Source organism: Homo sapiens, chromosome 13, assembly GCF_000001405.40.
Source record: "Homo sapiens chromosome 13, GRCh38.p14 Primary Assembly".
Classification (NCBI taxonomy): domain Eukaryota; kingdom Metazoa; phylum Chordata; class Mammalia; order Primates; family Hominidae; genus Homo; species Homo sapiens.
Window position 1 is genome coordinate 105,884,908 of NC_000013.11, and position 27,594 is coordinate 105,912,501.

The 27,594-nt window shown below is 38.7% G+C and overlaps 1 long non-coding RNA gene across 1 annotated transcript; it reads left to right on the forward strand.

The window, feature by feature from the left end:
* The first annotated feature begins 19,835 nt into the window (after nt 1-19,835).
* Nucleotides 19,836-24,799, forward strand: LOC124903244 (uncharacterized). Its single transcript, XR_007063937.1, has 2 exons — nt 19,836-19,916; nt 23,658-24,799. It is a non-coding gene; the product is annotated as an uncharacterized LOC124903244 (long non-coding RNA).
* Nucleotides 24,800-27,594: the final 2,795 nt, after the last annotated feature.

A 27,594-nucleotide genomic window follows, 5' to 3' on the forward strand; every position in this document is an offset into this window, starting at 1 on the left:
CATACGTGTACATGTGTCTTTATAGCAGCATGACTTATATACCCGGTAATGGGATGGCTGGGTCAAATGGTATTTCTAGTTCTAGATCCCTGAGGAATCACCACACTGTCTTCCACAATGGTTGAACTAGTTTACAGTCCCACCAACAGTGTAAAAGTGTTCCTATTTCTCCACATCCTCTCCAGCACCTGTTGTTTCCTAACTTTTTAATGATCGCCATTCTAACTGGTGTGAGATGGTATCTCATTGTGGTTTTGATCTGCATTTATCTGATGGCCAGTGATGATGAGCATTCTTTCATGTGTCTGTTGGCTGCATAAACGTCTTCTTTTGAGAAATGTCTGTTCATATCCTTCGCCCACTTGTTGATGGGGTTGTTTGCTTTTTTCTTGTAAATTTGTTTAAGTTCTTTGTAGATTCTGGATATTAGCCCTTTGTCAGATGAGTAGATTTCAAAAATTTTCTCCCATTCTGTAGGTTGCCTGTTCACTCTGATAGTAGTTTCTTTTGCTGTGCAGAAGCTCTTTAGTTTAATTAGATCCCATTTGTCAATTTTGGCTTTTGTTGCCATTGCTTTTGGTGTTTTAGACATGAAGTCCTTGCCTATGCCTATGTCCTGAATGGTAATGCCTAGGTTTTCTTCTAGTGTTTTTATGGTTTTAGGTCTAACATGTAAGTCTTTAATCCATCTTGAATTAATTTTTGTATAAGGTGTAAGGAAGGGATCCAGTTTCAGCTTTCTACATATGGCTAGCCAGTTTTCCCAGCACCATTTGTTAAATGGGGAATCTTTTTTTTTTGTTTTTGTCAGGTTTGTCAAAGATCAGATGGTTGTAGATGTGTGGTATTATTTCTGAGGCCTCTGTTCTGTTCCATTGGTCTATATCTCTGTTTTGGTACCAGTACCATGCTGTTTTGGTTACTGTAGCCTTGTAGTATAGTTTGAAGTCAGGTAGTGTGATGCCTCCAGCTTTGTTCTTTTGGCTTAGGCTTGTCTTGGCAATGTGGACTCTTTTTTGGTTCCATATGAACTTTAAAGTAGATTTTTCCAATTCTGTGAAGAAAGTCATTGGTAGCTTGATGGGGATGGCATTGAATCTATAAAATACCTTGGACAGTATGACCATTTTAACGATATTGATTCTTCCTATCCATGAGCATGGAATGTTCTTCCATTTGTTTGTATCCTCTTTTATTTCGTTGAGCAGTGGTTTGTAGTTCTCCTTGAAGAGGTCTTTCACATCCCTTGTAAGTTGGATTCCTAGGTATTTTATTCTCTTTGAAGCAATTGTGAATGGGAGTTCACTCAGGATTTGGCTCTCTGTTCGTCTGTTATTGGTGTATAAGAATGCTTGTGATTTTTGCACATTGATTTTGTATCCTGAGACTTTGCTGAAGTTGCTTATCTGCTTAAGGAGATTTTGGACTGAGACAATGGGGTTTTCTAGATAGACAATCATGTCATCAGCAAACAGGGACAATTTGACTTCCTCTTTTCCTAATTGAATACCTTTTATTTCTTTCTCCTGCCTGATTGCCCTGGCCAGAACTTCCCACACTATGTTGAATAGGAGTGATGAGAGAAGGCATCCCTGTCTTGTGCCAGTTTTCAAAGGGAATGCTTCCAGTTTTTGCCCATTCAGTTTGATATTGGTTGTGGGTTTGTCATAAATAGCTCAATACCGAATTTATTGAGAGTTTTTAGCATGAAGGGCTGTTGAATTTTGTCAAAGGCCTTTTCTGCATCTATTGAGATAATCTTGTGGAGTTTGTCGTTGGTTCTGTTTATATGCTGGATTACGTTTATTGATTTGCATATGTTGAACCAGCCTTGCATCCCAGGGATAAAGCCCCCTTGATCATGGTGGATAAGCTTTTTGATGTGCTGCTGGATTCGGTTTGCCAGTATTTTACTGAGGATTTTTGCATCAATGTTCATCAGGGATATTGGTCTAAAATTCTCTTTTTTTGTTGTAACTCTGCCAGGCTTTGGTATCAGGATGATGCTGGCCTCATAAAATAAGTTAGGGAGGATTCCCTCTTTTTCTGTTGATTGGAATAGTTTCAGAAGGAATGGTACCAGCTCCTCCTTGTACCTCTGGTAGAATTCGGCTGTGAATCCATCTGGTACTGGACTTTTTTGATTGGTAAGCTATTAATTATTGCCTCAATTTCAGAGCCTGTTATTGTTCTATTCAGAGATTCAACTTCTTCCTGGTTTAGTCTTGGGAGGGTGTATGTATCCAGGAATTTATCCATTTCTTCTAGATTTTCTAGTTATTTGCACAGAGATGTTTATAATACTCCCTGATGGTAGTTTGTATTTCTGTGGGATCAGTGGTGATATCCCCTTTATCATTTGTTATTGCATCTATTTGATTCTTCTCTCTTTTCTTCTTTATTAGTCTTGCTAGCGGTCTATCAATTTTGTTAATCTTTTCAAAAAACCAGCTCCTGGATTCACTGATTTTTTTTAAGGGTTTTTTGTGTCTCTATCTCCTTCAGTTCTGCTCTGATCTTAATTATTTCTTGCCTTCTGCTAGCTTTTGAATGTGTTTGCTCTTGCTTCTCTAGTTCTTTTAACTATGATGTTAGGGTTTCAATTTTAGATCTTTCCTGCTTTCTCTTGTGGGCATTTAGTGGTATAAATTTCCCTCTACACACTGCTTTAAATGTGTCCTCAGAGATTCTGGTATGTTGCGTCTTTGTTCTCATTGGTTTCAAAGAACATCTTTATTTCTGCCTTCATTTCGTTATGTACCCAGTAGTCATTCAGCAGCAGGTTGTTCAGTTTCCATGTAGTTGAGCGGTTTTGAGTGAGTTTCTTAATCCTGAGTTGTAGTTTGATTGCACTGTGGTCTGAGAGACAGTTTGTTATAATTTCTGTTCTTTTACATTTGCTGAGGAGTGCTTTACTTCCAACTGTGTGGTCAGTTTTGGAATAAGTGTGATGTGGTGCTGAGAGAATGTATATTCTGTTGATTTGGGGTTGAGAGTTCTGTAGATGTCTTTTAGGTCCACTTGGTGCAGAGCTGAGTTCAATTCCTGGATATCCTTATTAACTTTCTGCCTCATTGATCTGTCTAATGTAGACAGTGAGGTGTTAAAGCCTCCCATTATTATTGTGTGGGAGTCTAAGTCTCTTTGTAGGTCTCTAAGGACTTGCTTTATGAATCTGGGTGCTTCTGTATTGGGTGCATATATATTTAGGATAGTTAGCTCTTCTTGTTGAATTGATCCCTTTACCATTATGTAATGGCCTTCTTTGTCTCTTTTGATCTTTGTTGGTTTAAAGTCTGTTTTATCAGAGAGACTAGGATTGCAGCCCCTGCCTTTTTTTGTTTTCCATTTGCTTGGTAGATCTTCCTCCATCCCTTTATTTTGAGCCTATGTGTGTCTCTGCACATGAGATGGGTTTCCTGAATACAGCACACTGATGGGTCTTGACTCTTTATCCAGTTTGCCAGTCTGTGTCTTTTAATTGGAGCATTTAGCCCATTTACATTTAAGGTTAATATTGTTATGTGTGAATTTGATCCTATCATTATGATGTTAGCTGGTTATTTTGCTCGTTAGTTGATTCAGTTTCTTCCTAGCATCGACACTCTTTACAATTTGGCATGTTTTTCCAAATTTAGTGCCTCCTTCAGGAGCTCTTGTACGGCAGGCCTTGTGGTGACAAAATCTCTCAGCATTTGCTTGTCTGTAAAGGATTTTATTTCTCCTTCACTTATGAAGCTTAGTTTGGCTGGATATGAAATTCTGGGTTGAAAATTCTTTTCTTTAAGAATGTTGAATATTGGCCCCCACTCTCTGGCTTGTAGAATTTCTGCTGAGAGATCCGCTGTTAGTCTGATGGGTTTCCCTTTGAGGGTAACCCGACCTTTCTCTCTGGCTGCCCTTAACATTTTTTCCTTCATTTCAACTTTGGTGAATCTGACAATTATGTGCCTTGGAGTTGCTCTTCTCAAGGAGTATCTTTGTGGCATTCTCTGTATTTCCTGAATTTGAATGTTGGCCTGCCTTGCTAGGTTGGGGAAGTTCTCCTGGATAAAATCCCGCAGAGTGGTTTCAAACTTGGTTCCATTCTCCCCGTCACTTTCAGGTACACCAATCAGATGTAGATTTGGTCTTTTCACATAGTCCCATATTTCTTGGAGGCTTTGTTCATTTCTTTTTATTCTTTTCTCTCTAAACTTTTCTTCTTGCTTCATTTCATTCATTTGATCTTCCATCACTGATACCCTTTCTTCCAGTTCATCAAATCGGCTACTGAAGCTTATGCATTCGTCACGTAGTTCTCATGCCATGGTTTTCAGCTCCATCAGGTCATTTAAGGACTTCTCTGCATTGGTTATTCTAGTTAGCCATTCATCTAATCTTTTTTCAAGGTTTTTCACTTCTTTGCAATGGGTTCGAACTTCCTCCTTTAGCTTGGAGAAGTTTGGTCGTCTGAAGCCTTCTTCTCTCAACTCATCAAAGTCATTCTCTGTCCAGCTTTGTTCCGTTGCTAGTGAGGAGCTGCGTTCCTTTGGAGGAGAAGAGGCGCTCTGATTTTTAGAATTTTCAGTTTTTCTGCTCTGTTTTCTCCCCATCTTTGTGGTTTTATCTATCTTTGGTCTTTGATGATGGTGACATACAGATGGGGTTTTGGTGTGGATTTCCTTTCTGTTAGTTTTCCTTCTAACAGTCAGGATCCTCAGCTGCAGATCTGTTGGAGTTTGCCGGAGGTCCACTCCAGACCCTGTTTGCCTGGGTATCAGCAGCGGAGGCTGCAGAACAGTGAATATTGCTGAACAGCAAATGTTGCTGCCTGATTGTTCCTCTGGAAGTTTCGTCTCAGAGGGGTACCCAGCTGTGTGAGGTGTCAGTCTGCCCCTGCTGGGGGGTGCCTCCCAGTTAGGCTACTCAGGGGTCAGGGACCCACTTGAGGAGGCAGTCTGTGTGTTCTCAGATCTCAAACTCCATGCTGGGAGAACCACTATTCTCTTCAAAGCTGTCAGACAGGGACATTTAAGTCTGCAGAGGTTTCTGTTGCCTTTTGTTTGGCTATGCCCTGCCCCCAGAGGTGGAATCTACAGAGGCAGGTAGGCCTCCTTGAGCTGTGGTGGGCTCCACCCAGTTCGAGCTGCTGGGCAGCTTTGTTTACCTACTCAAGCCTCAGCAATGGCGGGCACCCCTCCTCAGCCTTGCTGCTGCCTTGCAGTTTGATCACAGACTGCTGTGCTAGCAATGAGTGAGGCTCTGTGGGCATGGGACCCTCTGAGCCAGGCATGGAATATAATCTCCTGGTGTGCAGTTTGCTAAGACCATTGGAAAAGCACAGTATTAGGGTGGGAGTGACCCGATTTTCCAGGTGCCGTCTGTCACAACTTTGCTTGGCTAGTAAAGGGAATTCCCTGATCCTTTGCACTTCCCAGGTGAAGTGATGCCTCACCCTGCTTCAGCTGACGCTCGGTGTGCTGCACCCACTGTACTGCACCCACTGTCTGACACTCTCCAGTGAGATGAACCTGGTACCTCAGTTGGAAATGCAGAAATCACCCAGCTTCTGCGTTGCTCTTGCTGGGAGCTGTAGACTGGAGCTCTTCCTATTTGGCCATCTCGGAACCGCCATGAATTTTCAAAGAAGCATTATTCACTATAGTGAAAAAAATGTGTGGGAAAAAGGACAAATGTCTAGCAACTGATGAAAGCATAATTAAAATGTTGCATCGCCAGATGATGAATATTATTCATCAATAAAGAGAAATGAAGTACAAATACATACTATGACATGGATGAACCTTGAAAACATTATGCTAAGTGAGAGAAACCGGCCACAAAAATGCCACAATGGTATTCATTTACATGAAATGTCCATAAGACAATCTTATAGAGAAAGAAATTAGATCTCACCTTAGGCCTCTGGGGGAGGAGGGAAACAAAGAATAATTGGTAATGTGTTTAGGTTTTATTTTGAGGAGATAAAATATTCTAAGATTGATTGTGGTGATGGTTGTATACCATTAGTGATTACACTAAAAACATTACATTGCACACATAAAATTGGTGAATTGCATGGAATGTGAATTTTATCTCAATAAGGGTGTTACTCTGTCTGTGTGTGTAAGGTGTCTTACACAGAGAGAAAGAGAGAGAGAGAGAGCAAGAGGAAAATTACTCTTCCAAACTCAGTTTGGTAGAAGTTTCTCAATTGAGAATAAAAATTCTTTTATGTAGAAGCCTCATCTAGATGTGAGTTATTCATTGTATCACCATCGTACCAATAAACCAGTGAGAAAAAAATGATAGAGTGAAAAACAGCATCATGGAGAGACTTGGTTTGCAGTCACGTTGAGCTATTAGGCTTTACTTTAGGCAGGTCATTTACCATCACTGCACTTCAGTTGTCTCACCTGTAATACAGGGTGTTTCAACCAGAAAACTTCTGAGATTCCCTCTAAAACCCAAATTCTAGCATTTAAATTGAATGATTGAATTTACACTTTCATGATCAGAATACTATTTTCCTGTTCAGTATGTCTTATAGAATTTTTCCCATTTAATGCTAAACAATGTGAGCCCTTTGTCCATATTTTTTTAGATGTTACCTTATTTCTAAGTCAGGACAAATAACAATCTATGATTTGAATACTCATTGCTATTATTTACTACCTGCCAATTGTCTTGGGGTAAAACATGGTGGAAATAAATAGCACAGAGATCTTCATTTTAGAGGTACAGTGTGGCTCTCAAATAGTGTTAAGTTTGGACTTGGCCTACTGTTAAGAAATTAGTCCCAATGTTCATGACATTTGCACAGATTTTAGAGAGTCTGAATATCGGTTGGCCAGTAACAGATATTTGTTATTCACACTGCTCTTGACACATAATTTATTTCTAAACATAAAATAGCAACTTCCAGCCATGCAGAAGAAAGTGGTTCCTATATATTACTAAGAAATTGAATACTGTGACAATGGAGTGGGGAATGGACTTTAGATGGAGAATACTTTAAATTGTGCGTAGTTGTCCATAATATTGAGACTGAGGGATGGATGAAGGCAAACTGTTTAAAGTCTTCTCACCATAGCAAAGGTCAGTGCCTCCATAAAGTGGGAGAAGACGTACTTTAGACATTTTATTCCTAATAGTTGAGTCCATTATTATGTAAGCTATTAATGCTGATGGTGGAAAATCTGGAAATTGAATATCTGGAATTGAGTTTCATGCATAATCACGAAAACTTCCTTCAGGCATTCTCATGTATCGGATTTTTCAAAAAGTTCCATTAGAATTATATCCATTCTGTTTATGTTTTTTGAATTTTGTAACTATTAAATAACAACTAGAATAGCTCACATTTTGCTTTAAGATTCTCTCTTTGCCCAAATACAAAGAGTCATTTTGTCTGCAAAGCACGCATTACTCCTGAAGCAGAGTTTCTTTCTGAACTGTCTGATTCTGTGACTTGCAAGGTAGAGGTCAGGCTGTGAGGAACCCTTAGAGAGGGAAATACTCTGTAGTCTATAGAGAGTCACAGTAAAGGCGTCCTGAGTAGAGAATGGTGCATCCTTAGGGAGCTAGGGGCATTTGAAGACATCTTGCTGTCAGACCCTTCTCCCTCATCTCCTACTCTGAATAATTATACACAAATAAAACCAAGCCACAATAAACACTCACTGAAGGCTTAAGTGGACAAAATGTTATAAAGGAAACCTGACTATCAAGATTAAAAAAAAAGAGAGAGAGAGAGAAATCCACACTTTTCTTTGAATGATGTTTACATGCTGACTGTTTATACAAGGGCTACAGTGGTTAATTCTCATTCGATGACACCCAGACCTATCCCAGTAATACTGGGGCTTTGTTGGGGAGAAGAATGTCCCTAACTATGGGACTCCAAGCATTTCAGCCCACCATAACTTTGAGAAAGTTTTAGTGATGTCCTTTAATTTCCATTTCTAAAAAAGTACAGAAATGGGTGATAATTACTTGTGACCCATGGGCCACATTTCTATAAATTACTTGAAAATTTGCTAAAGATCGTAACAGTTGTTGGAAATAGGTGTTGGGTTTATTATACCACCCTCTCTTTACTTTTATGTCAACATGCAATTTTTTATAATAAAAATCAAAAAAAATTGTCAAGATAGCTACAATTCATGTCTTCATTCATTACAGAGTATTAAACATGAGCTTGGGAGTTGAAAAAGCTTAGTCTCAGTTGGGTGCGGTGGCCCACGCCAGTAATCCCAGCACTTTGGGAGGCCGAAGTGGGCAGATCACCTGAGGTCGGGAGTTCAAGACCAGCCTGACCAACATGGAGAAAACCTTGTCTCTACTAAAAACACAAAAATATTAGCTGGGCATGGTGGTGCATGCCTGTAATCCCAGCTACTCGGGAGGCTGAGGCAGGAGAATCTCTTGAATCCGGGAGGCGGAGGCTGCAGTGAGCTGAGATTGCGCCATTGCACTCCAGCCTGGGCAACAAGAGAGAATTTCCATCTCAAAAAAAAAAAAAAAAAAAAAACAACTTAGGCTTGCCTGCAAGAAAGTTAAAAACCAATGTCACATTATGAAGACGTCTCCAGGATTGCAACCCCACTGTGGGCATATACCCAAAAGAAAGGCAATCAGTCTATGGAAGAGATATGTGCACTCCCGTGTTTGCTGCAGCCCCGTTCACAGTAGCCATAGACTTTTAGTGTTGGAAGACAGTTTAGAATCATTTATCTTAAACTGTCTATGAGTGTAGAAATGAGTGACTTCTACACAATTACTTTCTAAATGCCCTATAGAGGCTGGGCACAGTGGCTCACGCCTATAATCCCAGCAGTTTGGGAGGTCGACGTGGGAAGATCCTTTGGGCCTAGGAGTTCAACATCAGCCTGGACAACATAGTGAGACCCTGTCTTTACCAAAAATACAGAAAAGAAAATATTAGGCAGGCATGGTAGCATATGCCTATAGTCCAGCTACTTAGGAGGCTGAGGGAGGAGGATTGAGTGAGCCTGGAAGTTCCAGACTACAGTGAGCTATGATTGTGCCACTGTACTCCAGCCTAGGTGACAGAGCAAGATCCTGTCTTCAAAGAAATAATTACTTAATTAATTGCATTTAATAAAAATAAAAAATAAATAAATACCATGTACATCACAGTGTCTCATCTGTGGCACTGCTGATATCTCGGGCTGGATTATTCTCTGTTGAGGCTGTCCTGCACATTGTAGAATGATGACCAACATTTGAGCTGAGACTTCATTCTTTTCCTACCTTCAGACTTGAAATAAAACATCAGCTCTTCCTAGGCCTCAAGGCTGGCAGTATTCAGACTGAAACTACACCGCAGGCTCTCCTGGGGCTACAGCTTGCCAACACACCATACAAGCTGTAGGACTTCTCAGCCTCTATAACTGCATGAACCAATTCCTTATAATAAATCTTCTCTCAATAGATGGATGGATGGATACAGACATAGATGTTGATATGAGTATAGACATATAGATACATATCTCCTATTGGTTCTGTTTATCTGGAGAACCCTGATTGGTAGGACTCCATAACACCATGAAAGATACACTGTTATATATCCATTCTACAGATCAAACAATTGAATCATAAAGGAGGTCTAGTAACAAGTTTAAGGATATACTGTTTGAAAGAGGCTGAGCCAAGATTTAAATCCAGGTCTGTCTGACTCTATCTTAATCCTTACATAACTCTTTTTTTTTCCCTAAAACACAATGGCTATTTCTGTTAAAAGTATCATGATTTTTCCCTGTAAATGGGCTCTAGTCCTCAGAAAGAACTTTATCTTCCTCTGCCTTTCTAACACTAATGCATCTTCCAAATCTACTCCTGTCTCTCTCTTTATTTATATTCCAGCTGCTACAACCCTAATTGAATCTCTGAATACATCACGGTTGCAAAAAGCATGAAAACTGAATTGCATGCCTTCCTCCTTTTCATTCTTCCACTGTGGTTTATTAGTGCTCCTAAGAAGCACATTGATTGCATCATTCCACAGCTCAAATGCCCTAAGTGGATTCCCACTGCCTTGCCCAAGGGTGTAGCAGGACTGATATTCTTCTAATTTGCCCCCACGCTGAGGGGGCAGGGCCCATGCTGCACTAGTGGTTAAATATTTTCTGTATCACCAGAGTACATCAACATACATCTTGGGAGTTTTCTGAATCTAAACATACACTCCATTTGAAATTCTTAAGTGACAACTGGGCACCTGTCTTCCGAAAAAGATTCCCTGATGTGTTTTCTCTATTGTTATTTATCCATTTAGAGGGTTAATTTCAAGATGACTATAATATCATCATCTCAGTTCTGTTCTATTTTTCCAACCTTTTGACCCATTGATATGCTGTAGAAATTCCCTACTCCAGATAAGCTTTTGCTCCAGCCTCTGAGCACACCCTTTGATTTCCCACTCTCTGTACGTTTCTGTGTGAGATCACATAACTGGAGGGGCCTCTGAGTCCTTTGCTATTTATCAAAATCCAACTCGTTCTCATGTCTGCTCAAAGCCTACTTCGCCAGTGAATCTTCTAGACCATCGGGGCCAAACATTATCCTTTCTACTACTTGACTCTAGTTATTTCATTGCTCACTAGGTGGTTGGTCTGCAGGATAGAATATGACATGAGTGTAAACAAGGTTAAAAGGCCGATAAATGCCACCCTAGGAAGAGATCATTGCACGATTCAAGGTGAGAACAGACAACACAATACATTTCGAGTTGTATGGTGTTTACTTACACCAGGAGAAGGGTATGTGTGTGTTAAGATCCAGCTCCTTGGCCTTGGTCCTCCGTGGCCAGTGGATTCACCGTGGAGCTAACCATGCATTTCACTTACTGCTGCCATGGAAGGATTCCCATCTTTTCCCCTGGGGTCTGAAATACAGCAAGCTAGAATCATCCCAGGGGGCCATCAAGGCATGCATTTAGGCAAAAGAAAGGGATACATATTGAGCCCAGAATAGAGAAAGATATTCCCAGACAAGATGATGAGCCCAGACTGGAGAGCTTTATGACTCTTGATAAGAAAATGTTCCAGGCCCAAGTCTCTCTCATGTGACCAAACAGATATTGCAAGACTGTAGGCATGAAGTTGACTTTCCTGATAGTAATAATAGTACTGCTCTTATAGTTTTAACTATGCATGTACATACTATATTGTTTTTGTTTGTTTGTTTGTTTTTTTGAGGCAGAGTCTCACTCTGGCACCCAGGCTGGAGTGCAATGGCCTGACCTTGGCTCACTGCAACCTCCGCCTCCCAGGTTCAAGCGATTCTCCTGCCTCGGCCTCCTGAGTAGCTGGGATTACAGGCACCCACGACCACGCCCAGCTAATTTTCATATTTTTAGTAGAGACGGTGTTTCACCATGTTGGTCAGGCTGGCCTTGAACTCCTGACCTCAGGTGATCCACCTGCCTCGGCCTCCCAAAATGCTGGGATTTTCATATACATATGTCTTTTCACCTCAACTATACTGTACACCACCTGGGTAACATAACACCAACTTAGTTACTTCTATGTTTCTGAAAGGATATTATATTTGGAGATATTCAGTAAACATTTATCAATAAAAAATGCTGAAGACGGAGGTCCAAGTTAAGGAAATTAGTATCGGGTGTAAGTATGCTGAAAAGCCGAAAGACAACAGGAAGGCAGGCCTTACACTTGAGACCCTCCACTCCATGTCAGCACTTATTTTCACAACCTTCCCCACCACATGCATTTCCAACGCCTCCTCCTCTGCCAAGTGCAGAGATTCTAGAATCCTTTCTGCACCTGGAAGCTACAAAAACATTTTACGTCCTTTCTTAATTGAAAAATAAATGACACAAATTGCCCTTTGCAATTGCATAATATACTTAACAAAAATCATACAGATCACTTCATCTATTGCCTTAGCTCATTTTGTTTTTTTGTGAAAAACATCTAATAAAGTAATTTGAAAATTTATGACTGTATAAAAATGTTTAATACCACTTTGTGCCAGATTTGTTACGCCAAGTTGAGATTTCAAAGTTAATGACAGGCTTTAATTAGAACAATTTCGGGTTTGCATAGTTTAAATTAAAGTAACGTTGAAGAAATTCAAGAGCTACATTATTTTGCTATTTAATGTAGAAAATATTTCCCTGAAATTACTTTCTGTCTAACTCAGACATTTATATAAACTGCCCTTATAAAACTTGGAAATATTGTTTTCTCATAACCCGGTTTCCAAGTTGCAAATCTTCATTATCAATAGCTTTTTTGTTTTTTTGAGGCTGAGTCTCGCTCAGCCGCCCGGGCTGGAGTGCAGTGGCGCCATCTGGGCTCACTGCAAGCTCCGCCTCCCGGGTTCACGCCATTCTCCTGCCTCAGCCTCCCGAGTAGCTGGGACTACAGGCGCCCGCCACTACGCCTGGCTAATTTTTTTGTATTTTTAGTAGAGACGGGGTTTCAATGTGTTAGTCAGGATCGTCTCGATCTCCTGACCTTGTGATCCGCCCCTTTCGGCCTCCCAAAGTGCTGGGATTACAGGCTTGAGCCACCGCACTCGGCCCATTATCAATAGTTTTTTAAAAGTTTAGGCATCTTTTTTCTGTGTGTGTGTGTTTTTTTAATTAATATCTCCCCAGAGGAACATAGCACTACTGAGGGCTATCACAACCTATTGCAATCTTTGGTAACAGCATTAAGCGTTCTTGGTCTCACAGCCACGTGAACCTTCTTTGAAATGACCTACCCCTCAAAAAACTAAAGCTAGAACTACCATATGATCTAGCAATCCCACTGTTAGGTGTCTATCCAAAGGAAAGAAAACCTGTATATTGAAGAGATGCTGCACTTCTGTGTTTATTGCGACACTACTCACAATAACGAATAGTGTTGCAATAAACCAAGCCAAGAGATGGGATGATCCTAAGTGTCCATCAGCAGATAAACGGATAAAGAAAATGTATGATATGTGCAAAATTGGATATTATTCAGCCATAAAAAATGAAATCCTTTCATTTGCAGCCATACGAATGGAACTAGAGGACAAATTGAATATGGATGAAATAATCCAGGCACAGAAAGACAAATATTGCATGCTCTCGTGCATATGTGGGAGATTAAAAAGTGAATCTCATGGAGGTAGAGACTAGAATGTGGTTACCAGAGGCTGAAAAGGGACAGGGGAAAAGCGGATGAAGAGAAGTTGGTTAAGGGTTGTAAAACTACAGCTGGATAGAAAGAGCAAGTTCTAATATCTGGTAGTATGAAAGGGAAATTATTATTAACAACAATTTATTGCCTATTTCAAAATGGCTAGAAGAAAAGAATAGTAATGTTCCCAACACAAAGGAAATATAAACCTTTGAGGTGATGGAAATCCCAATTATTCTGACTGACTTGACAGTTACACATTGTATACCTGTGTCAAAATATCACATGTACCCCAAAAATATATACAACCATGATGTGGCAGTTTAAAAAATGCGAAGGTTGATTAGATCCCATTTGTCAATTTTTGCTTTTTTGCGATTGCTTTTGGCCTTTTTGTCATAAAATCTTTGCCCGTGCCTATGTCCAAAGTGGTACTGCCTAGGTTTTCTTCTACAGTTTTTATAATCTGGTGTTTTACATTTAAGTCTTTAATCCATCGTGAGTTGATTTTTGTATATGGTACAAGGAAAAAGCCCAGTTTCAGTTTCTTGTATATGGCTAGCTAGTTATCACAGCACCATTTATTAAATAAGGAATCCTTTCCTCATTACTTGTTTTTGTCAGGTTTGTTGAAGATCAGATAGTTGTAGGTGTGTGGTCTTATTTCTGGGTTCTCTATTTGTTCCATTGTTCTATTTGTCTGTTCTTATACCAGTGCCATGCTGTTTTGGTTACTGTATCCCTATAGTACAATTTGAAGTCAGGTAGCGTGATGCCTCTAGCTTTGTTCTTTTTGCCTAGGATTGCCTTGGATATTCGGGCTCTTTTTTGGTTTCATACGAATTTTAAAATGGCTTTTTCTAGTTTTATGAATAATGTCAATGGTAGTTTAATGAGAATAGCACTCTCCACAGCAAAAAAAAACTTGTCAACAGAGGAAACAGACAACCTACAAAATGGGAAAAAAATCTTTGCAAACTATGCGTCTGACAAAGGTCTAATATCCAGCATCTATTATGAACTTAAACAAATTTAAAAGAAAACAAAAACAAAACCAAAAAGATTAAGAAGTGGGCAAAGGACATGAACAGACACTTCTCAAAAGAAGACATACATGTGGCCAACAATCATATCAAAAAAGCTCAACATCACTGATCATTAGAGAGATGCAAATCAAAACCACAATGAGATACCATTTTACACCAGTCAGAATGGCTGTTATTAAAATGTCAAAAAATAACAGATGCTGGTAAGGTTGTGGAGAAAAAAAAAACACTTATACACTGTTGGTGGGAGTGTAAATTCGTTCAACCATTGTGGAAGACAGTGTGGCAATTCCTCAAAGATCTAAAAACAGAAATACCGTTCAATGCAGCAATCTCATTACTGCATATACATTCAAAGAAATATATATCATTCTAGTATGAAGACCCATGCACATGCATGCTCACCGCAGCACTATTCACAATAGCAAAGACATGGAATCAACCTAAATGCCTATCAATGACAGACTGGATAAAGAAAATGTAGTACATATACACCATGACACACTATGCAGACATAAAAAAGAACGAGGTCAGGTTCTTTGCAGGGACATTGATGGAGCTGGAGGCCATTATCCTTAGCAAACGAATGCAGACACAGAAAATAAAATACCACAGGTTCTCACTTGTAAGTGGGAGCTAAATGATGAGAATACATGGGCGCATGGTGGGGAACAACACACACTGGGGCCTATTGGAGGGCGAAGGGTGGGAGGAGGGAGAGGATCAGGAAAAATAACTAACGGGCACTAGGCTTAATATCTGGGTGATGAAATAATCTGTACAATAAATCCCCATTACACACATTTACCTGTGTAACAAAACTGCACATCCTGCACATGTACTTCTGAACTTAAAATAAAAGTAAAAAAAAAATACAAAGAATAAATAAATGGACAAAAAAGAGTTTAGGGCCTAGATATTTAGCAGTTTTATACTAAGGGACTGTTTTCTAATTGATCCCCAGCCCTCCAGGGGTTGAGGCGTTATTTATCCGTTCTGGCTTATTTGATCCCCAGCCCTCCAGGGGTTGAGGCATTATTTAACCGTTCTGGCTTATTTTAGTTCTCCTTTCTTCTGAAGTGTGCTTGGCATCTCTCAAATGGTGCCAAGCCTCAGTGCGTCTTGGGCTGAAGCAAAAACGTTGTCCCCTTGCATGCTCACACCACCTCCCTTCTCATATATGAAACTGCTTGGGTTGAAATAATTAAATTTTATCTTTAATTCCCAATTTGTGCCTCTAGTAACCAGCAATCAGAAATTACAAGATAATATACCCAGCTCACCTTTGAAAAGTTCCATTGAGGAAAGAACTACCAAGGGTGATTTCCCATCCTGTTCATGCAAAAGAGACAATTGCTAGAACACCATGCAGTTACGTACCTCCTAAAACTAACTATTGCCAAGAAGAAAACAAATGACTGAATTAAGCCTGGTTTTTTCTTAATGCCAAAAGTCATTTTATTTACCTATTCTCCTTAGAAATGGAGTCCCCAACTACCCATTCAAAAGAAATCAGATATAAAATAAACAGACATCAGACGATATGATATCCTTACTTGTGCCATGTTTTCCAAGACCGGTGCATATTTTTAGATATCTTTTATTTGCCCAGCCATCTGCATGACATGGGTATTTATTAGTATGACTAGCTGGTGCTCAATGTCAAGCAAAAATATTTTAGTTTGAGCGATGCTTTTCTTTTCCCCCCTCCACTGCGGGGACTGGACAGTGACGCAAGGCATTTATGTAAAAAAGATTCTCCCTCCTTTCATATTTATAGTAGCAAATAAATTGAAAAAATAAAAAACTAAATTTGATGCACAGTAAAATGAGCAGTAAAATATGATTTTACATTTTAAATATTTGGGAGAGTTAATTTGTTAGCTAAATAATTCAAAGGAAAGAGATGATTCAACTGGTCATAATCACCCCGATAGATATTATTACTAATCTTAATTGTTTATTACATGTCTTTCTTAATGGATCTAATGTTTCAATTTTTTCCCTACTGGTAGAGAATAATAACAGAAGTAATTTTTATATTATACCCTTGGAGAAATAAAGTTGAAACAGAATTAGAAATATTTCTCAAACAACTACATTACAATATAAATTATACTAATTCATTTTGTGTAGACATTTTAAATCATGAAAATAAGCCTGGTTTTTAAAAGCTATTTTAAAAAGAACATTTTGACAATATACTTTTAATTTCTTGAAAGTGCACAGGTTGAAAGAAAATGCTTGACTTTTCCCTTAATCTCTTCCTTAGGATTGGTTGCCCTTGAGGCAACATAGTCCACCTAGTTGCAAGTTACTGTGCAGAGTTTAGGGTCTTTTATTTCTTATTTAACTGCTTCACTGCACTGCCTAGAGCTTGGTGCCCAGGAAATTTTGGCAAATCCTTCAAAAATGTCCCTGTAAAATAAGTAAGCATTCATTGGAACAGACTTCCTGTGGCAAGCACCATTTTTTCTTCGCTTATCTAGCAACAAACATAGTCACAAATGTTTACCATTGAAAACAATGTCATAAGCCCATTATCCCTCATATAAGAACTAGGAAATGTATGGAGTAATAGAAATAATAATCATTACATGTATCTTCTTCTTCAAGGTAGAAGAATGGAGTTAACTCCATGTCTTCAGAAAAAGTCTATTGACTTAGAGTTGTGAATAAAATTAACACGATTTATTTTAAATTTTAATCACCTAAGGGTCATATAAAAGCCCCTTCAATTTCTAGTAAGTCACACTGGGCAAAGAAAATTGTAGAAATATAATACCACTCTCAGACAGTATCAAACGATAATGAAGTAAGAACTGATCCCGGGGGGTAAAACAAAACAAAACAAAATTAACAATAAATGAAACAGCAACTGTGAAATCCAGCATCTTCTGACCACTTTGTTTAGGAGCAAAAATCTTTTTCAGTTCATACTAGCATATAATATTTTGATAAAATACTTGATATTTGCCAACTAACCTTTTTTATTAAAAAAAAAAAGGTCACAGTATCAAGTCAGTGAAATAACATTTAAGATGACCATCAGTGTTCTTACACAGGTCTGGACATTACAGGTGAAATCACTTAGCCATAGCATCTTCCAATTGAGAAAATTACATTTTTGATGACACTGAAGTCTCATTTAAAACATTATTCAGTACATTCTGCTATTATTTTCTCACAGTCATGAACTATTACCACAATCTTAGTAGAGATAGTGGCAACAGAAACATTTGAAATCTCCATATTTTACCAAAAATTAAGATCAGAAATAGAAACATGCATATAATGCTATTATTTGCCACTGTTCAAAGCACCTTACTTATGTTATCTCAATAAATCTTCACAATAACCATCAGTCTATCATTTGTCCTATTTTAAGAGCAGGAAATAAGTACAGAGCAATTAAGTAATTTGCCGAAAGTCACGGAGCTGCCTTCCCATCTAAACAGTGTTTCACAATATCTGAGAATCCTCTTGTCTTCAAAGGAAATTTATTACCAAGTTTTTTGCTTTAAACCTTCTGTGTATTTAAATTTAAATGTTTATAATGTGGGGTTTAGTTGGCTATTGCCTGAGTGTGAGGTTAAATATGTGTTTCTGTTTCCTCTGAAGAGAGACATTATTCTAGTCTTGTAATTGTTTGTTTGTTGTATATTTCAAGGGAGAGTGGTAAAAAAAGAAGAGCTACAGAAAATATCAGTAAATTAGGACACATTAAACAATTTTTGCAAGCTATTATTGAGCACCTACTGTGTACTGTGCTTGAATTCCTCCTATCATATCCCCACCTGGTGGTGACCTAGCCGCTGGAAACCTACATTCAGTTTTCAATCCAATAAAATGCCTATATCTATTTTATTTCTAAAAGAGTCCTAATTTACCAAAATTACAACTGTCTCTTACTTGAATGATATTGGGTATTTGGATTTACAAGAAGTGCCAATATGCATTCTTCCAACCTCCAAAGATTAATACATGCTTAGAACTGATCAACATCTTGCTAAATTTTTCTTTAATAACATGCCATTCATGTCCAATAGGTTTACTTGTCATTGGACAAACAGAATATTTGTTCAGGGAGTAGGCACATTCATTATTTGCCGTAACCTGTATCCTAATTTGTTACTTCAGCCAATGATGAGATGAGCGTCCCTTCATTAGCAAGAATGGAATATTTTAGAACTCAGCTTCATCATGGCTCTCTCCTGTTGTCTAAATATACTTCTATAAAATAAATTTATGCTCTCTGGAAGAACTGGATAGACAGAGGATTGCGATGTCTAGTCAGAACAGCGCACACACACACTTGTGCATGCACACACACACACACAGTTACCACAGTTGTAAAGTTGGAGGGTTTAAAATTGGTTTTAAAATATGTGGCTTTTTAGATAAGGATCGTTTATGTAGTGATGAAATTGTATCATTCCTTCAAAACAAGACCTGCCTAAAAAAAAAAAACAAAGAAAAAAATTACCCACTAAAAAAGCAGGCCGGGCACAGTGGCTCACTCTTGTAAACCCAGCACTTTGGAAGGCCAGGCGGGCAGATTGCTTGAGCTTAGGAGTTCAAGACCAGCCAGGGCAACATAGCAAAACCCCATCTTTATAGAAGATACAACAATTAGCCAAGCATGATGGTGTGCACCTGAAGTGAACAAGACACAGTCTGTGCTATCACAGTTCTAAGACTATAGAATCTCAGGGCTGGAAAGTACAGCTACTGGGAAGTCTGAGGCAGTAGGGTCACTTGAGCCTGGGAGGCAGAGGTTACAGTGAGCCGAGATCGTGCCATTGCACTCTAGCCTGGGCAACTGAGCCATACCCTGTCTCAAAAAAAAAAAAAGGGCAATTTACACAAAATAATGGAAATCTTGGGGATAATAGAACTGCTTGACAGAAGTTTTCTTTGCTGCAGAGTCTGCCAGAGTAGTTTTTAACTTTGCATGAAGAGTGTCTATAACATGAGTTCTATCTGTGCAGTTACAGAATCACTAATTTATGGACTAAAGGTTACTTCCAGTGATACTCGTAGAATAAAATGTTAGGTCACTTTGACAAATAGGCTTATGATACCACATCTTTAAATAACTGTCAACAAAGAGAAGGCCATTGCTGTTAGGCAAGCCCAGCTGGGCACGGTGTGAAACGCAATGGCCAGTGGGTAATTACCCGGTAGATCTCAGCAGTGTGACTAGGCAGTAAGGCAATTTAAACCCTGGTCGTCTGCACTTTCCTCAACCTACTGGCTAACTGAAGAGGATTTAATATAGGCAAAAAGAGATAAAACAGCGTTTCTAAATTTTATGAGGGAATGGGATGGGCAACATAGATATACTGTTTTTTCTTCTAGATCTGAATAAATACAGGATAAACACCCAGCCTGTATCCGAGAGCAACATTCTGCCTCCAGGAGAAACAAGAGTAAATATGGGTGTGGATAACAAGATTTTTCAGGAAAATCTTGCTCAGACCAGTCTGTTCACTAGCTGTGAGGTGAAGTTGCTGGTTATCTTTTGGATGTGTTTGATTAATCTTACGTAAGTAATGCATTGGCATCAAGAGAAAAAAAGGATTATATTACTGATTTACAAGATCTGCCTTCCCAAAATTATGAGTCCTTCTTGGTTCCGTAGGCTGATTCTCAGTCTTCTATGTTTATACAGGAAGAAATGAGAACTGGCAATGAGGAGGTGGGAGATTGGATATGAAGATGTCAGGTAAGGAGGGAGATGGGACACAAGTGAACGAAGATACAAACTTCTACAAAATCTGTCAACATCATTGTTTAAGCTCTCATCGTTTATAATGCATCTATTGATTTATACAGCATATATGTTTAGTGCCATCTATAGCTAGGGGACAGATGTGAATAAGATACAGGCTGTGCTATCGTAGTTCCAAGACTACAGAATCTCAGGGCTGGAAGGCACATTCTTGCCCAATTATCCAGCTAAAGCATGAATCCCTTCTATCAAGTCTCTGCCAAAGTTTTATATTACACCATAGAGCTGGAATTAATAGCTAAAATGTATTCGTTCCTTGACAAATACTGCTGCTAAGCCATATTTATTCCTTCTCATGTTTATGCAGGAGATTTATTTTTGTTTAAATTTAAGTGCTCTATCTTGTGCATGTGCCCATAACACACCATCTTTAAAAACCTGACCTATTGTTCTTGCTTATTAAGAACTTCATGGAGCCAGGGGATTCATTCACCCTACCAGGACCGGGTTATTGACACCTATTATCATCAGGTCTTCATCACTTCACCTAACTCTTTATAAAAACGATCACCAAGGCAGAGTCCTATTGGCGAAACACAAGTCTGCCTGCCAGGCTGAACCTCTGCCATCTACATACAGAGAGGGTCAGCAAGTGTCCCGACAGGCTCCTAACTGAATGTTATTGTAGAAACTTATTCATGGCCAATCAAATTGTAAAATAAAGGGCTGTAAGGATCCCTACCAACAGAGTGACAGCAAGTTAAACAGAAAATAAACTGTTAGATCGTTTCCAAGAAATAATCAAGTATGCATGAAGAGTACCTGTGTGTACTGATCTACCAAGGAGTCTCAGTTCACACTGTGGCCCAAGGCGGTTATTAAACAGACACCGATTCACCCTGAAAAGTATCTTGGTACAAACAATAAGTTATGTACTATGGCCCTGCCATGATGAAACAAATTTCTATCACTTCCTCCTCCTTAAAATTCCTTGGTAATATCTCCAAGGAGGGTTTAGGAAGCCATTTTCTCTCCCCCTTTTAATAATATTTGCAGAGTGTTTAGGCACCTGTGTCACTGAAGAGCATGAAATATTTGAGGCTTGTGCTCAGTTCATTGCTTCATTCCTAACAGCCATCCTGGTGCCTGGAACGTGGAGGCACTCCATACAAATTTGTTGAATGAAAACTGAATTAACGAATATTCGTGTTAACCAATGGCCTAATCTGTCCAGTATGAGTCTATTACTATATTCTTAAGCCAGTGAGGACATATGGATACGAACATGAATCTCATCTGTTTGGATTATACTTTGCCTTTTGCCACATCTCACTTCAGGAATTTTATTTGCCCTGTCCTGTCACACAGTCAGCCTATCCTCTTGGTCTTCCAGGTAACAAATAACATTTTGCCTCCTGGCATGAGGCTTCTTTAGAGTTTAATTAAGTAATAGATCCCCATGCAATGGCCCTGGGTACCTACAACTGAGCAGGTTCATGGCTTCACACCCTTGCTCCCCATCTGCCCTCGTGAACACCTGAAGCAACTGGAGCTGGGTCTGTAACATGGAACTCCTGGTCAGAGACTTGGGCTCCTTGCTTTTATTCACCAATATTTGTCTGTTAAAATTTTCATTATCATTGAACATTCTATTTTGTTAGTTTCCCCTGACATAAATAAAATTTATCTATAGAAAAAAAAATGTTTGAATATGACTTGCTCTAATTTTGCATAAAAACCCTATATTTGGTTTCCTCAACCATGGTCTATGTTCAGAGGCAGCACTCAAATTATCATCTGCTGACTCTCAAAAGACATTTAATTTAAGAAAAAACTGATTATTGAGGCCCTACTGTGTAGCACATATATTGTCCCATACATTCTGAATAATAAGAAAAATGAAATATTCAAGTGGCATGGCATTTTTCTCTAAGAGGGAAAACCTTATGAGATGCAATCTTTGTGCATTGGCTAACAGATGCCAGGAATACGATTTATTTTTAGAATAATTTTAGGCTCACTACAGAAAACAGTTGAGTGCATTTTCATAAAGTCCTCTGGTTTCCATGGCAAATGGGGCCATTATTTCTTCTGAAACGGAAGGCTTTTACTTACACTTTCCAAATGCTTTTCATATTGTGCCAAAAACTCAAGTCAGTCTAGAAACAAGTACGCTAGTGGCTTATTGTCAAAAGCAGTTCTTAAGTAAAAATGTGCAGCAGGTCAAAGTGACCTTCCATTCAGGCCTGTGGAGAACAGTGCGTAATACACTGCCGTCAAATGGCATGTGTGCCTCTTAGATGGAGGCAGTGGAGGAGGAAAGAGTGCCCATGACCCAAAGCATTTCATCATCGTGAGACATAACCACAGTTGGTTCAGATGTTCTCTGTGAAAACGATGATGATTGTTTCTTATCTTATAAGATACAGGACCTGAAAATCACTTATATTCAAATCCACTTAATACCTAATATGCATCATGCATATTAAAACATAAAAAATAAAAACTATGTCATCTTGTGAAGCTCTGCTTAATTTTATGATGATAGGTGATGATATTTCTTCCTTAGAGGATCATGGAATCTTTAATATTGAATATTAAATGGATCTTGAAAATGCAACTAATTAGACTAATAAATATCAACATGCTATTTATATTGTTTACTGTTTCTTTGCTTATAAAAAAATTACGCAATAACAAATGGAAAATCAGTTACAAATTAAAACCACTAGATAAAAATTGAGGTTGAATTCTCCTTCCTTTCAGTATAAAATTTAGTCTATAGTGTAAATTTTTAATAATAGTGGAGTTAAATCTATAATGCTAAATCATATTTTTTCACTTAATATCAATGTTTATTAATTATTTTTTTAACTACCTATTTATATTTTTTATTGCAGTGTCTATGGGCAATGTACAACTACTATATGACTAATATTTACATAGAACTAACATATAAGTATACTCAGGGAGGGACTATTTAAATATATGTGGCCCGGATAAACTAGTTGGGTTCAGCAAGGATAGTAACCTCTTCTGTCTGCTGAACACCAACCAATACAACATAGGCATTGACAAACTAGCACTACCGCAAACAGCCCTTAGTCTTTATTTTACATCCTGAGTTTTGAAGTCAACTTGTTACCTTTCAGGCTCTTATCTCTATACTAGCATAAGCAGCTCCATTTTCACTCTTGCAAGATCTCAAGTCACATTTGATAATATCCTGACCCCTAACCTTGCCTCTGTAATTTTCATTTTTGCAAAAGTGAAATTATTTTGGATGTATTTTTAAACTATGGCCAATCTAAAATATATGTGCTGGGATAGCTGTAGCTACATGTTACAGAGTGCAGATAGATCATAAGGAATCGACAGTCATTCCAGAAGTGAGATTCACAGATACACGCTGTCTACTACAGCACCCCATAGGAGCCAGGTCAATGCTCAATGGTAAAAAAAATTAATGTAATTTTAGGACGTAAAAAGTTTAAATTCATTGGCATGAAGAAATGGTTTGACTTTTCTCATAAATGTCCCCTACCATGCTACATTGAGCTTCTATTGTCCTCTTTCAGGTGTTTCCCTTAATGACATCTGGCTGGAGTACATACTTTCAGTCAATTTGGGTTATTTGCATAGTTTTATTTTAGTATTTAACACTTGGTTCTTTTTATCTTATTGGCTCATCTCGGTTTTGGTTTAAAGTCCATTTTCTCCCTTTTCCCCAAACAGGTAAGAGTAAAATCCACAGGAACTGCATGATCGTATTGGAGTGGTTGGGCTCTCGTTTCTGTTTGGCTCTTCCAGTCATGCAGTGAGGAGGACAGAAATGGAAACACAGATTTTTTTAACGATGACCTTCATTTCCTGGGCCAAGATCTGATCCTCTAGATTCCTACTTCTTTTAAAAGTCATCGTCAATGTCTGCACAGCATGTGTCACCATGCAGGCTCTCTTGGAGCTCAGATGTGGTTTCTACAGGAAGTCCCACAGAAGCCGCAGTAATGCACATTTTCTTGAAATGGGAAAAGATCTTCTTGTGCACTTATCTCTCCTTTCTTAGTTCCTACCACAGGTAAATCAATCTGAAGTCTTTTGCTCGTTCTTGGAGGTATCTACGCTACGGATTAAGTTCAGCCGTATCCTACCATGTCTACTTGACAATAAGAAAAGCAGGTGTCTTGGGGTGCTGGCTTCTTTACCGATTCCCCTCTCTTGGCTTCACCAGTTTTCTCCTCTGGTCTTTCTGTTCCCTTAAAAATATTAAACAGTGAGCAGGGCTGGTGCCTGACCAATCCTCATGAGAGACAATCGTTAGTTCTGGTTTAGTGAGGGGAAAAGGCAGTTTGGTTCAGCACAAACATTACTGATGATTCCCTCAGGTTCTTCCTTTTCTAATTGTGGGAAAAGGAAACACCCAGCTCCTCCCCCACAGAAGAGGAGAGAGGCTCTTTTCATGAACTTTGCACTCCCTCCAAATTTACTTCCATCTCCCATTCCTTCATTTGAATTTGCCAGGAGACAATGATTATGATGATGGGGCTAGCGGTGATGGTGACTGTGCAGTGGGAAGATTAGCTCTGGAACTTCTCTTTGAGCCTTAAAAGGAGGTAGCGAGTTCTAATTACAAGCAGCTTTCTAAACTTGGAACATATGGATACATAGCACTTTTTATTTTCAGCTTCGGTTTTTAGATAAATTAATGGACTGAAAAAAATATTCCAGAAGATACCTCATTGCATATACAATTATTTCTTTCTCAAACCAACCCTACCAAAATGTGCGTTTCTTCAAAGCCGTAATTTCCAAAGATTGTCAGAGAAATAAGAGATGTCAGAGGAATAATAGGAATAAATGGGTCAAATTCCTATTAAGATGTGTGAGATTCATAACGCCTTAAGAATTTAGGGTTCTTTACCTTCATAAAACAAGGTAGACCAAAGAAAGACATCTTTAAAAAGGACATTTCACCCAGTTGGCTTAAGAAGATACATGAAATGAAAACTTCGTGGTATCCTTATATATTAGTTTGGGCTGCTGTGACAAAATACCACAGACTGGCTGGCTTAAACAACAGAAATTTATTTCTCACAGTTCTGGAGGGTGAGAAGTCCAAGACAAGTTGCAGGGGGATTCTGTTTTTGGTGAGGGCTTTCTTCCTGGTTTGCAGAAAACTGTCTTCTGCTGCATCCTCACATGCTGAGACAGAGATCATCTCTCTCCTGTCTCTACTTATAAGGGCACTAATTTCATCCTGAGGGCTTCACCGTCCTGACCGAACCACCTCCCAAAGGCCTCGTCTCCAAATACCATCACCTTAGGGTTAAGGTTTCAAGATATAAATTTTAGGGACACAATTCAGTCCATAGCATTATACCAATTTCAGCCTTGAATGAGTTTATTGTTATTCATCGGTGTCTCTGTGAAAGTTTCATCAAAATCTTTCCCAAGAAAAAGACAAAAATAATAGGATGATCTAACTGATACCACAGTTTTCTTCCAAATGAAATGTTAATAGCCTAAGAGAGGCTATTATTAACAACCTTCTTATGTCCCAGTATTTTTTTTTTAAGTTTAGAACAGCTAGACAAGGCAGTGCTTGGTTTGGGATGCTGATTGGATAACTGTCTAATTAGGGGAATAAAATCAGTGGGGTAAGATTCTGGCTGGAGGAAATAGACAGGGAAGATTATGATTTAGGAACTACTTTGATAGGAAAAGTCGGGAAAGCATGGCAACAACACAATATTTAGTAGGTAAAGAAATGGTCTAGTTTAGCCTCTCCTATCGAATTTCTATCTAGAAGGAAGTTAGGAGCAGAAATAATCTTGGGGTGGGAAGGGGATAGTGGTAATTAAGAGACTTCTCTTGGTAAATTTAGTGTTTTTAACAAAACCATATGTTTATTTTGAGTGCTTGAATAGACTAGTGGCAATTTCAGGAGGGCCAAATCTTTTAGACAACCACCCCTCAACAACACAAAGCAAACAAACAAAAATAACTTTCAATCACCACTGATCAGCTATGCTGTGAGAGTTGGGGATGATAGAATGACCAGAAAGGTTTAGAATAGCTAAGAGGGCCAGAAGAACGTAAAGTGAGCACTGTTATCTAGAAAGTGAAGATAAATCAGATAAACTGGCATCCAAGGGTTTGTAAATGATGTCTGCAAATGGCTTAGAAGGTTAACTCATGAAGGAAGAGGCAGCAGGTTAAACATTGGAATTCTTTTTTTTCTTTTTCTTTTTTTTTTTTTTCTTTTTTGAAACAGAGCCTCACTGTCACTCAGGCTGGAGTGTAGTGGTGTGACCTCAGCTCACTGCAACTTCCACCTCTCAGGTTCAAGCAATATTCTCCTGCCTCAGGAGAATATTGGGACTACAGGTGTATGCCACCACGCCCAGCTAATTTTTGTATTTTTAGTAGAGACTGGGTTTCACCATGTTGGCCAGGCTTGTCCCCAACTCCTGACCTGAAGTGATCTGCCCGTCTTGGCCTCCCAAAGTGCTGGAATTACAGGCGTGAGCCACCAAGCTCAGCCGGATTGCCTGGAATTCTGATAATGGAAAGAAGGAATAAATACTGGATCATCCATTTCAAACCCTTTTAATTTAATAAATAATCTCTTTAATGGCTGCTTAATTTGAGAAGCAAGACTGATTTTTGAAACCCTGATGGCTTTTAAAAAATAGAATGTATAGGTTGGGAAAGATGATGGAAGACCTATTGCCATTCATCTTACAAATGAAACATCAGGTATGTAGAATATATTATACTACAGCTTGAATTAGGAGTTGAATGTTCAACAAGGGACTTTCAATTTTCATAAGTGATGATACTTTTATTTGATAAAGAAAAGTTTGGAGCACTCATTTGAAAACCAGATTTTAATGAGCCCTTGTTAATGTTTATTGCTTTCAGTCCTCATTCGTGGCTTACAGTATATCTACTCGGAATAGCTCATTAACCTTGGCAAGTTTTCTGCATTGAGGCATAGGGATAGCCTGGCAGAAAATACAAGGTGCTTTGAGCACTTCAGAAAAAATTATATATACACATCTTGGCAAAAGTGATTAGCAGTCTCATTCGAAACAGCCCAAGTATCACCAAGTAAATCACATAGTGGAAAAAGTAAAAATAAAAGCCCAAAGCATTAAATGATTCTACTTGAATTGAAGAGAAGCATTAAAATCAACTGAGCAATCAGCAGTTTCAAGATGCCACTCAAGCAGATGACAAGCAAATTCCACAAACATCTAGGGCTGCCTTCAGCTTATCTCTGCTTGCTTATTTGGTCATATAGAGAGTATTATCTAATAATTAAGGTAGCCAATTAATAGAGCTGCCACAGAAAAATATAAGTATATTAACATCTCAGGTGATAATAGCTTGCTAATAGATGATAATAAATCAATATTTGCCTTCAACATTTGTTGGAAAAGCTTTTACCTTGAGATCTTTTGACTTAGTTGGAAGCATACAGAGACATTATAGCCCAGGTTTTCCCTCTTTAGTTTCTCTAACAGTGGGAGGGGTTTCCTCAAAAGCCTTATCTGCCTTAACAACCCTTGTACAGATATCTGATTCACTAACAAATTACTGTCTTTTATTCCCTATCTAGAGAAGATGTAATAATCATACTTGTTTTCTAATACTCAAGACTTTGAAA